The sequence below is a fragment of the Homo sapiens genome, chromosome X (genome assembly GCF_000001405.40).
Source record: "Homo sapiens chromosome X, GRCh38.p14 Primary Assembly".
Taxonomy (NCBI): Eukaryota; Metazoa; Chordata; class Mammalia; order Primates; family Hominidae; genus Homo; species Homo sapiens.
Window position 1 is genome coordinate 73523521 of NC_000023.11, and position 14302 is coordinate 73537822.

Here is a 14302-nt window from a genome sequence, read left to right on the forward strand (position 1 = left end):
TTTTTATATTTTTTCCAGTAGGCTTCCAATGCCAAGAAATGGTGTTGTACTACAGGAGGTTCTAGCTGGTGATGAACATAAAGGCTGCCATTTCAGATCCTCATCTGGTCCAATGTGTCTCTAGAAAAGATGCCTCTTTATCACTTACCACATCGGCTGGGCCCCACTATTCTTAGCCTTTTAAACACTAGCGCATATGAGAGATTTGGGGCTAAAAATCCTTGGTAAGAAACATCCCTGGTAATTATAAAGGTTTTTTGATATAAAAAAAGGCAAAATATTGGATTAAGCAAAAGTCACATAGCGACAACAGACCACAGGGGAAGGGAAAGAGATTCGGAAACTGAAGACCTGGACCAGTGATGGCAAGAAGGAAACAACTGAGATTTGGTCTTTTGCTGCCTACCAGAAATCTTTATCTAATCAATCAAGGCACATTGCTACTAGCTACTTCTCCCTGTTAGTGAGTTAGGATGGCTAAAGTATCAGGCTTAAGACCAAAGGGAAATATATAACTGCTACAAGTTGTTCCAGATAAAATAGTAGAATTAAAAACATCTGTAAACTTTGCCTTCTGTACTGTTTTCTTCTTTCAGTCCTGGTGGTTTGTGGCAGGTGGAACATCAAGTTGGCAGCACACCGAATTCTGAGAATGAAAAATTATTAGGATCAGCTCCTTCTTTGACAAGTGGCAGACTCCTGAGTCTTCCCAATGCAAAGTAGGACTGGTAAAGGAGAAAAGAACACATCTGGTCCTGTCTCAATATTTTAATGTTCACCTCTTTGAACGCAACATGGTTTTTGGTAAAGATAAATTCATTCTAATTTAACATGATATGTCAAACAGGAAATTTGGCTGAGCACATCAATCCCCAAACATCAACTGTAACTGTAAAGCAACAGAATATCACATCAGTAAATCTATTGCACTTGGTGAAGAAAGTAAATTCCTCCTTTGTCTCCTAGCTCCAGAAGGCAATGTGTCTCGTTGGCTGTGCAAGCTCTTCTCACTCAAGCCTGAGTCTCTATGTTCAGACATAGTACATCCATCACCGTGTCCTTCCAGGATTTGGAAGTCTGATAAAACACCATTCCAGTAGCTGCATCTCCAGGTTTGGAGTCTATAAATGAATATAAGATGTGATCTAATCACAGTCAACAACTTGATCATACTGACTTCTACATTTCATGAATATGTTCATCACAAAAGAGCAGGATGAGGTCTCTCTGACCAGCACTAACACTGTGTGATCAATCAGGTATTACCAGGATGCACGTTCTAGGTGACAGGAATATGTAGACATGATGGAAATGAACACCAATGTCATTGCACATGGTGTCTGGGTGAGCAATAAAAACACTGTGATAGGGATGAAAATTCTTTACCTTTTGCTTCCTCTCAGCCCTTTTTTTTAGTCTGATGTAGCAGCGATATCAAACAACATACATGGGAAAGCTGGGAGTAGCTGGCATTTGATCCAGGATTTGACAAAACATAGCATGCGACTTCAATGGTACGTTCTTCATAAATCAAAATAAAAAGATGTTTCAGAAGCTCTTTATGCTGTGGTCTTTTGGATTCATCCTTCGTAAGGCACAAGTTGACAAAGTTGATGAAACTTGGGGAGAATTCGTTTTCCTCAGAATTACTCAGCTGCGGAGGATCTCCTTTCACGACTTGTGTTAGTTGATCAAATACACTATTCCACTTTGGATAAGGAAATCAGCCCGTGGCCAACTCACACAATGTGATCCCCAAACTCCAGACATCAGAGCAGACATCATATGCTTGTCATGATGCACTTGGGTCTATTCTTTCAGGTGCCATGTATGGCCTACAGCCAGCATCTTCTGTCTTGGCAATAGAGTCCACAAGCTGCCCACTGATGCCAAAGTCACAGAGTTTAATATTTTCACTTCTGTCCAGAAGAATATTGGAAGGTTTGATATCTCTGTGAATAATTTTCAAGTTTTCTTTTAAGTGATTTAATGCTTTCACAGATGCTAAAGTGATTCTGCCTAAAATTTCTTCTGGAATAACATCATCTAATACACTATACACATATTTGTAAAACTTATCAAACGAGATAGACATGAGTTCCATACAGGTCCAACAGTCACCCTGTCTGTAGAGTGCATCATAAAACTGAACAATGTAAGGGCAATCACTACTCTGCATTACTTCATCCAAATCCGTAAGAGGTTGTTTTTGTTCTTTTTCATTCACTGTTGACCGAATTCTTTTAACTGCCATTATTTGCCCACTTGGTTTGTGGACCATTTTGTTGGCAGAACCATAAACTCCTCATCCAATTTCTCCAAGGTCTTTCAAGTCCTCTGCAGTGAAATCCCAGTGTTGTTCAGGGGAGATCTTCAGTTTTCCTGATGACTCAATGCTGTGTGATCTCAGTCTCTCTATGTGTGGGTTTTGAACTCCTGTAGGATTGGGATTCAGAGTAAACCTTGCTGTAGATTTGAAAGGTGGATTTGCAAAATTCAACTTCAGTGCTTTGCGTTTACCCTGCATGCTGCTGATGGCTGGGTGGCCTGGCTTCAGGGATCCTACAGGTCCCGGGGTGAGGCTGCCGCTGCTGCCCCCGGAGCCGCAGCCGCCGCTCAGTCTCGGAGCTGCCATTGTTGGGAGTGAGGAGCCAAGCGACGCCGTGGCGGCTGCAATGCAGCCCTGGTACAAGAAATTTCTAAGCAGGAAAGCATTCAAGATGTAGCCTGGTTGCTTATAACAGCATATTATCAGATATAGGAGCAAATAAATGACGAAGTTGGTACTTATATTTAAAAGGAAAGTAGAGCATAAGTTCAGAAAATGTGCATCTTAGCCCTGTGGTAAAGAAAGAATCCAAGCAGACTGTAGAGCAATCACTTGCTAGAGAGATTAGCATTACTAAAAGGGAGCCAAGTGCTAATATCCAAGACAATGAGGGAAAAAAAAGACTAGGAGGCATTTCAGAAGTCTTTGGGACAGCCCAGAGGTCTACCAGGAAATAATGGTTTCAGGGCCAAGCCCTGGGCTGTGCTATACTACACAGCCTCAGGACACTGCTCTTCATATCCTGGCTGCTCTGGCTCCAGCCTTGGCTCAAAGGGGTCCAGGACACTGCTTCAGAGGGCACAAGCTGTAAACCAGCAGCTTCCATGTGGTGTTAAGCCTGTGGACACAAAGAATGCAAGAGTAAAGGAGGCTTGGCAACTTCCACCTAAAATTTCAAAGGTTGTATGAGAAAGCATGGGTACCCAGGCAGAAACTTGCCACAGAAATGGAGCTACAACAGAGTGTCTCTACTAGGGCAGTGCTGAGGGGAAATGTGACATTGCAGTTCCAATACAGACTCTCCACCAGGTCACTGCCTAATGGAGCTGTGAGAGGGGGCTGCCATCCTCTAGACCCAAGAATAACGGAGGTAAGGGCAGCTTGCACCCTCAGCCTGAAAAAGTCATAAGCACTGGACTCCAACCCATCAGGGCAGCCATGTCAGCTGGATTCAGCAATTCCATAGAAGCAGAGCTACCCATGGCTTTAGAAGTCCTCTCCTCACACCAGTGTGCCCTGGATGCAGGACATCAAGTCAAATGAGATTATTTTGGAGCTTTAAGAGTTAATGAGTATCCTGTTGGGTTTAAGACTTGTGTGAGGCCTATTAGCCCTTTCTCTTGGCTGAATTCTCTCTTTTGGAATTGGATGTTTACCCAATGCCAGTACCACCATTATATCTTGGGAGTAAATAACTTGATTTTGATTCTACAGGTTCATAGATGGAAGGAACTTGAGTCTCAGATGAGGCTTTGGAAATTGGACTTGGGAACTTTTGAGTTGGGGCTGAAACAAGTTAAGACTTGGGGGGACAACTGAGAAGGGATCATTGTCAGGCCTTTGAGCCCAAGCTAAGCCATCATATCCCCTGTGACCTGCACATATACATCCGGATGGCCTGAAGTAACTGAAGAATCACAAAAGAAGTGAAAATGGCCTGTTCCCACCTTAACTGATGACATTACCTTGTAAAATTCCTTCTCCTGGCTCATCCTGGCTCAAAAGCTCTCCCACTGAGCACCTTGTGACCCCCATCCCTGCCTGCCAGAGAACAACCTCCTTTGACTGTAATTTTCTTTTTCTTTTTTTTTTTTTTTTGAGATGGAGTCTGGCTCTGTCACCCAGGCTGGAGTGCAGTGGCGCGACTTGGCTCACTGCAACCTCCGCCTCCTGGATTCATGCCATTCTCCTGCCTCAGCCGCCCAAGCAGCTGGGACTATAGGTGCCTGCCACCATGCCTGGCTAATTTGTGTGTATGTGTGCATTTTTAGTAGAGACAGGGTTTCACTATGTTAGTCAGGCTGGTCTCAAACTCCTGATCTCTTGATCTGCCCACCTCGGCCTCCCAAAGTGCTGGGATTACAGGCATGAGCCACCGCGCCCAGCCTTGACTGTAGTTTTCCTTTACCTACCCAAATCTTATAAAACGGCCCCACCCCATCTCCCTTCCCTGACTCTCTTTTTGGACTCGGCCCGCCTGCACCCAGGTGAAATAAACAGCCTTGTTGCTCACACAAAGCCTGTTTGGTGGTCTCTTCACAGGGATGCAAGTGAAATTTGGTGCCATGACTCAGACTGGGGGACTTCCCTTGGGAGATCAATCCCCTGTCCTCCTGCTCTTTGCTCCGTGAGAAAGATCCACCTACGACCACGGGTCCTCAGACCAACCAGCCCAAGGAACATCTCACCAATTTTAAATTGGGTAAGCAGCCTCTTTTTACTCTCTTCTCCAACCTCTCTCACTATCCCTCAACCTCTTTCTCCTTTCAATCTTGGTGCCACACTTCAGTCTCTCCCTTCTCTTAATTTCAGTTCCTTTCCTTTTCTGGTAGAGACAGGAGATGCATTTTATCCATGAACCCAAAACTCTGGCACCAATCACGGACTCAGGAAGACAGTCTTCCCTTGGTGTTTAATCATATGGGGATGCCTGCTTGATTATTCACCCACGTTTCAGAGCTGTCTGACCATGCAGGGATGCCTGCCTTGGTCCTTCACCCTTAGCAGCAATCACTGCTTTTCTGGGGGGCAAGCACCCCCCCCAACCCCTTCTCTAGATGTCTCTACCCATTTTCCACTTTCCTGGTGGGCAAGCACCTCCCATCCCTTCTCCACTTTCCTGGGGGGCAAGCACCCCCCACTCCTTCTCTCCATTTCCCCACCCCTTGTCCACTTTCCTGGGGGGAAGCACCCCCCCCACCCCTTCTCTCTGTGTCTCTACCCTCTCTTTTCTCTCCACTTTCCAGGGGGGCAAGCACCCCCCACCCCTTCTCTCCATGCTACCCTCTCTTTTCTCTGGACTTGTCTCCTTCATTATAGGCAACCACCCTCCATTCCTCCTTCTTCTCCCTTAGCCTGTATTCTCAAGAACTTAAAACCTCTTTAACTCACACTGACCTAAAACCTAAATGCCTTATTTTCTTCTGCAATGCCGCTTAACCCCAATACAAACTCGATAATGGCTCTAAATGGCCAGAAAACGGCACTTTCGATTTCTCCATCCTACAAGACCTAAATAATTCTTGTCGTAAAATGGGCAAACGGTCTGAGGTGCCTGATGTCCAGGCATTCTTTTACACATCGGTCCCTCCCTAGTCTCTGTTCCCAATGCAACTCATCCCAAATCTTCATTCTTTCCCTCCTGCTTGTCCCCTCAGTCCCAACCCCAAGCATCGCTGAGTCTTTCCAATCTTCCTTTTTTATGGACCCATCTGACCTCTCCCCTCCTCCCTAAGCTGCTCCTCGCCAGGCCAAGCTAGGTCCCAATTCTTCCTCAGCCTCCGCTCCCCCACCCTATAATCCTTTTATCACCTCCCCTCCTCACACCCGGTCTGCCTTACAGTTTCGTTCCGCAACTAGCCCTCCCCCACCTGCCCAGCAATTTCCTCTTAAAAAGTTGCCTGGAGCTAAAGGCATAGTCAAGGTTAATGCTCCTTTTTCTTTATCCAACCTCTCTGAAATCAGTTAGCGTTTAGGCTCTTTTTCATCAAATATGAAAAACCTAGCCCAGTTCATGGCCCATTTGGCAGCAACCCTTAGACCCTTTACAGCCCTAGACCCTGAAGGGTCAGAAGGCTGTCTCATTCTAAATATGCATTTTATCACCCAGTCAGCTCCTGAAATTAGAATAAAGCTCCAAAAATTAAATTCCAGCCCTCAAGCTCCACAACAGGACTTAATTAACCTCACCTTAAAGGTGTACAATAATAGAGTAGAGGCAGCCAAGTAGCAATGTGTTTCTGAGTTGCAATTCCTTGCCTCCATTGTGAGACAAACCCCAGCCATATCTCCAGCACACAAGAACTCCAAACGCCTGAACCGCAGCTGCCAGGAGTTCCTCCAGGACATCCTCCCCCAGGAGCTTGCTACAAGTGCCAGAAATCTGGCCACTGGGCGAAGGAATGCCTGCAGCCCAGGATTCCTGCTAAGCCACATCCCATCTGTGCAGGACCCCACTGAAAATCAGACTGTTCAACTCACCTGGCAGCCACTCCCAGAGCCCCTGGAACTCTGGCCCAAGGCTCTCTGACTGACTCCTTCCCAGGTCTTCTTGGCTTAGTGGCTGAAGACTGATGCTTCCCAATCGCCTTGGAAGCCCCTTAGACCATCACAGATGCCAAGCTTCGGGTAACTCTCACAGTGGAGGGTAAGTCCATCCCCTTCTTAATCTTAATCATTATGGAGGCTACCCACTCCACGTTACCTTCTTTTCAAGGGCCTGTTTCCCTTGCCTCCATAACTGTTGTGGGTATTGACAGCCAGGCTTCTAAACCTCTTAAAACTCCCCAACTCTAGAGACAACTTGGACAGTGTTCTTTTATGCACTCCTTTTTAGTTATCACCACCTGCCTAGTTCCCTTATTAGGCTGAAACATTTTAACTAAATTATCTGCTTCCCTGACTATTCCTAGGCTACAGCCACACCTCATTGCTGCCCTTTTCCCCAGTTCAAAGCCTCCTTCACATCCTCCCCTTGTATCTCCCCACCTTAACCCACAAATATGGGACACCTCTACTCCCTCCCTGGCAACCAATCACACACCCATTACTATCCCATTAAAACCTAATCACCCTTAACCCGCTCAATGCCAATATCCCATCCCAAAGCATGTTTTAAAAGGATTAAAGCCTGTTATCACTTGCCTGTTACAGCATGGCCTTTTAAGGCCTATAAACTCTCTTTACAATTCCCCCATTTTACCTGTCCAAAAACCAGACAAGCCTTACAGGTTAGTTCAGGATCTGCCCCTTATCAACCAAATTGTCTTGCCTATCCACTCCATAGTGCCAAACCCATATACTCTCCTATCCTCAATACCTCCCTCCACAACCCATTATTCTGTTCTGGATCTCAAACATGCTTTCTTTACTATTCCTTTGCACCCTTCATCCCAGCCTCCCTTCACTTTCACTTAGACTGACCCTGACACCCATCAGGCTCAGCAAATTACCTGGGCTGTACTGCCTCAAGGCTTCACAGACAGCCCCCATTACTTCAGTCAAGCCCAAATTTATTCCTCATCCATTACCTATCTTGACATAATTCTTCATAAAAACACACGTGCTCTCCCTGCTGATCATGTCCAACTAATCTCCCAAACCCCAATCCCTTCTACAAAACAACAACTCCTTTCCTTCCTAGGCATGGTTAATATGGTCAGAATTCTTACACAAGAGCTGGGACTGTGCCCTGTAGCCTTTCTGTCCAAACAACTTGACCTTATTGTTTTAGCCTAGCCCTCATGTTGGTGTGGAGTGGCTGCCACTGCCTTAATACTTTTAGAGGCCCTCAAAATCACAAACTATGCTCAACTCACTCTCTACAGTTCTCATAACTTCCAAAATCTATTTTCTTCCTCCCACCTGACGCATATACTTTCTGCTCCCTGGCTCCTTCAGCTATACTCACTCTTTGTTGAGTCTCCCACAATTACCATTGTTCCTGGCCCGGACTTCAATCTGGCCTCCCACATTATTCCTGATACCACACCTGACCCCCATGACTGTATCTCTCTGATCCACCCAACATTCACTCCATTTCCCCATATTTACTTCTTTCCTGTTCCTCACCCTGAACACACTTGGTTTATTGATGGCAGTTCCACCAGGCCTAATCGCCACTCACCAGCAAAGGCAGGTGATGCTACAGTATCTTCCACACCTATCATTGAGGCACCACTCTGCCCCCCTCCACTACCTCTCAACAAGCCAAACTCATTGCCTTAACTGGAGCCCTCACTCTTGCAAAGGGACTACGCATCAATATTTACACTGACTCTAAATATGCCTTCCATATCCTGCACCACCATGCTGTTATATGGGCTGAAAGAGGTTTCCTCACTATGCAAGGGTCCTCCATCATTAATGCCTCTTTAATAAAAACGCTTCTCAAAACTGCTTTACTTCCAAAGGAAGATGGAATCATTCACTGTAAAGGCCATCAAAAGGCATCAGATCCCATCGCTCAGGACAATGCTTATGCTGATAAGGTAGCTAAAAAAGCAGCCATCAAAAGGCATCAGATCCCATCACTCAGGGCAATGCTTATGCTGATAAGGTAGCTAAAAAAGCAGCTAGCCTTCCAACTTTTATCCCTTACGGCAGTTTTTCTCCTTCTCATCTGGCCACTCCCACCTATTCCCCCACTGAAACTTCCACCTATCAATCTCTTCCCACAGAAGGGAAATGGTTCTTGGATCAAGGAAAATACCTCCTTCCAGCCTCACAGGTCCATTCTATTCTGTTGTCATTTCATAACCTCTTCCATGTAGGTTACAAGCCACTAGCCTGCCTCTTAGTATCTCTCATTTCCTTTCCATCATGGAAATCTGTCCTCAAGGAAATCACTTCTCAGTGTTCCATCTGCTATTCTACCACTCCTCAGGAATTTCTCAGGCCCCCTCCCTTCCCTACACATCAAGCTCCGGGATTTGCCCCTGCCTAGGACTGGCAAATTGACTTTACTCACATGCCTGTGTCAGGAAACTAAAATACCTCTTGGTCTAGGTAGACATTTTCACTGGATGGGTAGAGGCCTTTTCCACAGGGTCTGAGAAGGCCACCACAGTCATTTCTTCCCTTCTGTCAGACATAATTCCTTGATTTGGCCTTCCCACCTCTATACAGTCTGATAATGGACCAGCCTTTATTAGTCAAATCACCCAAGCAGTTTCTCAGGCTCTTGGTATTCAGTGAACTAATGGTCTTTTAAAAACACACCTCACCAAGATCAGCCATGAACTTAAAAAGGACTGGACAATACTTTTACCACTTTCCCTTCTCAGAATTTGCGCCTGTCCTTGGAATGCTGCAGGGTATAGCCCATTTGAGCTCCTGTATGGATGCTCCTTTTTATTAGGCCCAAGTCTCATTCCAGACACCAGACCAACTTGGACTGTGCCCCAAAAAACTTGTCATCCCTACTATCTTCTGTCTAGCCATACTCCTTTCACCATTCTCAAATACTCATAAATGCCCTGCTCTTGCTTACACTGCCAGTTTACACTGTTTCTCCAAGCCATCACAGTTGATATCTCCTGGTGCTATCCCCAAACTGCCACTCTTAACTCTTAAAGTAAATAAATAATCTTTGTTGGCAGGGCTATGCTGAACCTCCTTAGGCACTCTCTAATTGGATGTCCTGGGTCCTCCCAATTCTTAGTCCTTTAATACCTGTTTTTCTCCTTCTTTTATTCTGTTTAGTTTTTCAATTCATACAAAACCATATCCATGCCATCACCAATAATTCTATATGACAAATGTTTCTTCTAACAACCGCACAATATCACCCCTTACCACAAAATCTTCCTTCAGCTTAATCTCTCCCACTCTAGGTTCCCACCCTGCCCCTAATCCCGCTCAAAGCAGCCCTGAGAAACATCACCCATTATCTCTCCATACCACCCCCAAAAATTTTCACTGCCCCAACACTTTACCACTATTTCATTTTATTTTTCTTATTAATCTAAGAAGACAGGAATGTCAGGCCTCTGAGCCCAAGCTAAGCCATCATATCCCCTGTGACCTGCACATATACATCCAGATGGCCTGAAGTAACTGAAGAATCACAAAAGAAGTGAAAATGGCCTGTTCCTGCCTTAACTGATGATGTTACCTTGTGAAATTCCTTCGCCTGGCTCATCCTGGCTCAACAGCTCCCCCACTGAGCACCTTGTGACCCCCACCCCTGCCCACCAGAGAACAACCCCCTTTGACTGTAATTTTTCTTTACCTACTCAAATCTTATAAAATGGCCCCACCCCTATCTCCCTCCACTGACTCTCTTTTCAGACTCAGCCTGCCTGCAGCCAGGTGAAATAAACAGCCTTGTTGCTCACACAAAGCCTGTTTGATGGTCTCTTCGCACAGACGTGAGTGAAAGTCATTATATTTTGCAATGTGAGAAGAACATGAGATCTGGGGGCTAGGGGTCGAATGATATGGTTTGGATATTTTTCCTCTCCAAATCTCATGTTGAAATGTAATCTCTAATGTTGGAAGTGAGCCGTGGTGGGAGGTGTTTTTGTCATAAGGGTGGATCCCTCATGAATGCCTTGATCCTATCCTCACAATAATGAGTGTATTCTCACTCTGAGTTCATGTGACAACTGATTGTTTAAAATAGTATGGCACCTCCCCCCTCTATCTTGCTCCTGCTCTTGCTATGTGACATGTTACTTCCATGATATGGTTTGCATCTCTCTCCCCACCCAAATCTCATGTTCAATTGTAATCCCCAGTGTTAGAGGTGGGGCCTGGTGGGAGGTGACTGTATTATGGGGGTAGATTTTTTATGAATGGTTTAGCTCCATACCCTTGGTGCTATTCTCATGATAGTGAGTTCTCACATAACCTGGTTGTTTGAAAGTGTGTAGCACCTCCCCCCAGCTCTCTCCTTTATTCCTCTTCCTGCCACCTTGCTCCTCCTTTGCCTTGCACCTCCTTTGCCTTGCACCATGATTGGAAGCTTCCTGAGGCCTCCCCAAAAGCAGAAGCCTTATGCATCCCGTACAGCCTGTAGAACCATGAGCATGTTAAACCTCTTTTCTTAATAAATTACCCAGTTTCAGGTATTTCTTTATAACAATATAAGAACAGACTAATACATCCTGCTTCACCTTCTGCCATGAGTAAAACCTCCCTGAGGCCTCACAAGAAGCTATGCAGATGCCAGAACCATGCTTCCTGTACAGCCTGCAAAACCATGGCCAATTAAATCTCTTTTCTGTATAAATTACCAAGTCTCAGGTATTCCACTAAAGCAATGCAAATTGGCTAACACAGTATGTGATTAATATTTTCTATAATATACAATTTTTAAGAATAAGTGCATATATCTTCTTTTATAATAGCAAAACACAAGTGGAAGAAAAGCAAATGTATAGCAACAGGTGTACAAATAAATAAACTGTGGTAGAAGAGATTGCTAACAGCCTAAGGAACTGAGCAGAAATTTTTATACACTCATTGGGACTGTACAAAAAAAAATTCGAGTTTAGGTACTACCAATGTGAGTAAAGTGCTGGTAAATACTTTAGGATCTGAAATGATTGTAGAAATAAGAATGAACAGGAAATATCCTATTCCTCACATGAACTTAATTAAGCTCAGATGGGAACTCTCTCAAACTATGATTGAATACATATAATCTATTTTATCTCTAAGCGTTATCTAGTGCCCCTAGCTATTACATATAAAGAAATATAAACCCTCTCTGAATGAAGACAACATTATGCTTGGCCTCAAGTTATCTCTATAACTTATCATCTACAGTGTTCAGCACTCAATAAATAAGGCATTTGAAGAAAAAGATGACATGATCAAATAGGAAGAAAAACAATAAATCATAGAAATAATCACAGAGTAAGGCAGACAAAAATATCAAGAATAAAACTCTGAGAGACAAAGGGATGAAGTCTTTTCTGGCTGGAACTGTGGAGGGTGTTGAAGAGAATAATAAGGTTCCTGCTGTGCCAGAAAGCTTTAAGGAAAAGGGAAGAAATTTCACAGAACTGAAGATCAAGCGCCTGAGAAAAGTTTCCCAAAAGATGCTTCTAAAGGCAAGGAGGAAGCTTATATATGAAAAAGCTAAGCACTATCACAAGTAATATAGGCAGATGTACAGAACTGAGATTTGAATGGCTAGGATGGCAAGAAAAGCTGGCAATGTCTACCAACCTGCAGAACCCAAATTGACACTTGTCATTAGGATCAGAGGTGTCAATGGTGTGAGCCCAAAGATCCAAAAGGTGTTGCAGTTTCTTCACCTTTGTCGGATCTTCAATTGAAACTTTGTTAAGTTCAACAGGGCTTCAATTAACATGCTGAAGACTGTAGAACCATATATTGCATAGGGGTACCCAAACCTGAAGTCAGTAAATAAACTAATCTACAAGTGTGGTTATGGCAAAATCACTAAGAAGCAAATTGCCTTGACAAATAACACTTTGATTGCTCGGTCTCTTGGTAAATATAGCATCATCTGCACAGCAAATCTGATTCATGAGATCTATACTCTCAGAAAATGCTTCAAAGAAGCAAATTGCTTCTTTTGGTCCTTCAAATTATTCTCTCTATGAGGTGGAATGAAGAAAAAGACCATCCATTTTGTAGAAAGTGGAGATGACCAACAGGAAAGAGCAGAGCAACAGGCCTATCAGATGGATGAACTAAGGTGTCCACCACGATAGTTTCTGTAATCCAGTCAGTTAATAAACAGTGAATGCTTTCAAATTGAAAAAAAAAATAATGTATCAAAAAGAGCAGCAAGATACATAGTGGACAGAGCAGGAAAAGTCTATGTATAATGTATATCCAAAAAGATAGAAGAAAAAGAAGAGGAGAGAAGCAGATTTGGAGAAAACAATGGTTAAGAATTGTCAAAATTAAAAGAAGATAAAAAGCCACAGATTAAAGAATCCCTACACAATTCAAGCAGGATAAATACATAATACCCACACCTAGACACAACCAAGTAAAATGTTAAAATACTAAAGGCAAATAAAAAAATCTTTAAAATTAATAAAAATTTTTACCTTGAGCTTACTAATGAATTCCCATTGCAGCTGAGGAAAGAGAACAGAGGCTATCATAAAACTCTACCCAGATTTTTCTTTCCTATCTCACTAAAGAAACAAAATTTTTAATCTTAAGGAAGAAGGTTCCCAAAACCATGGCCTATGGACACTGGTGGATATACACTGAAACTGAGGGAAGGGAACTGGAGAACAAAGTTCTACCTATGGAAGAGAACAGAAATATTTATGAAGGCCAACACTGTGATTCAGGTCTATAGTGCTTTGCAAAGACTTAGGCTTATTCACAACAATGAAGAATGCCCCCTTCCCTCCACCCCAAACACCACACTAAAATGCCCTGAGCCAAACTAACAGGGAAGCACAGCCGGGAGAACTACAAAACACAGAATTTTTCTGCAGTACAGCACAAAAGAAAAATCCAAAGGGAAAAATAAGTTATCACTAGAAGGGAGAAAAAAAATGGTATCACTAGAAAAATTTGAAGTCTCCTGTTACCATAGCAATAACACACTTCAACTCTGGTAAATAGCAACGACAAACTTTAAATGCAGACTAATTTCTAATTAATTAACAAAATGTGCCATACTAAAAGCATAGCAGAAGGAAATGTATTCTCCAAGCATAAAACATACTTATTACAATATCTAGTGACCACTACAAATCTCCAGTTTTCACTAAAAAGTTATGAGGTACACCAAAGGCAAGAAAGACAGTCTGAAGAGACAAAGTAAAGATCAGAATGAGATTCAGATATGACACAGATGTTAGAACTATTGGAAGGCAAATTTAAAATAATTATGATTAAAAATAGGAGGAAGATGGCAGAATAGGAGGTCTCCAGGTCATGTGGTCCCACACAAATAATGATCTGGCAGCCATCTATGGACAAAACTGCCTTATGGAATCTTTCAGATCCGGGTAGAAGATTGGAAAACACTGGTGAAGCCCAAGCCTGAGAGCCACTTTGAGATGAAAACCCACACCCAAGAGTCAGGGTCACTAATGTGGTCCCAGCTGCAGACTAAAAGCAGCCGCATTTCCCTATAAATGTGGCTCCAGGCCCACTATCCCATAGCCTGGTGTCAGTTTTGCCCACAAAGGAAACCTGTGGAACACATGCCTGATCATGTCCCTAATAATAAGCCCACTAATTTCAGACCCAGCTGCAGTCACTGAGGCAGACCAGTGACCTGGCTCCAGCCCCCACTCTGCTGTG

At 43.7% G+C, this 14302-nt stretch overlaps 2 pseudogenes across 1 annotated transcript in view; one reads left to right on the top strand and one right to left on the bottom strand.

Moving 5' to 3' along the window:
* Nucleotides 1-754: 754 nt before the first annotated feature.
* The window catches only part of MAP2K4P1 (mitogen-activated protein kinase kinase 4 pseudogene 1), a 38811-nt pseudogene continuing 25263 nt past the window's right edge, over nt 755-14302 (bottom strand). The window contains exon 2 of the transcript NR_029423.1: nt 755-3167. The product of NR_029423.1 is annotated as a mitogen-activated protein kinase kinase 4 pseudogene 1 (transcript). The remainder of the gene's footprint in view (nt 3168-14302) is intronic.
* On the top strand, nt 11983-12721 carry RPL7P53 (ribosomal protein L7 pseudogene 53; annotated as a pseudogene).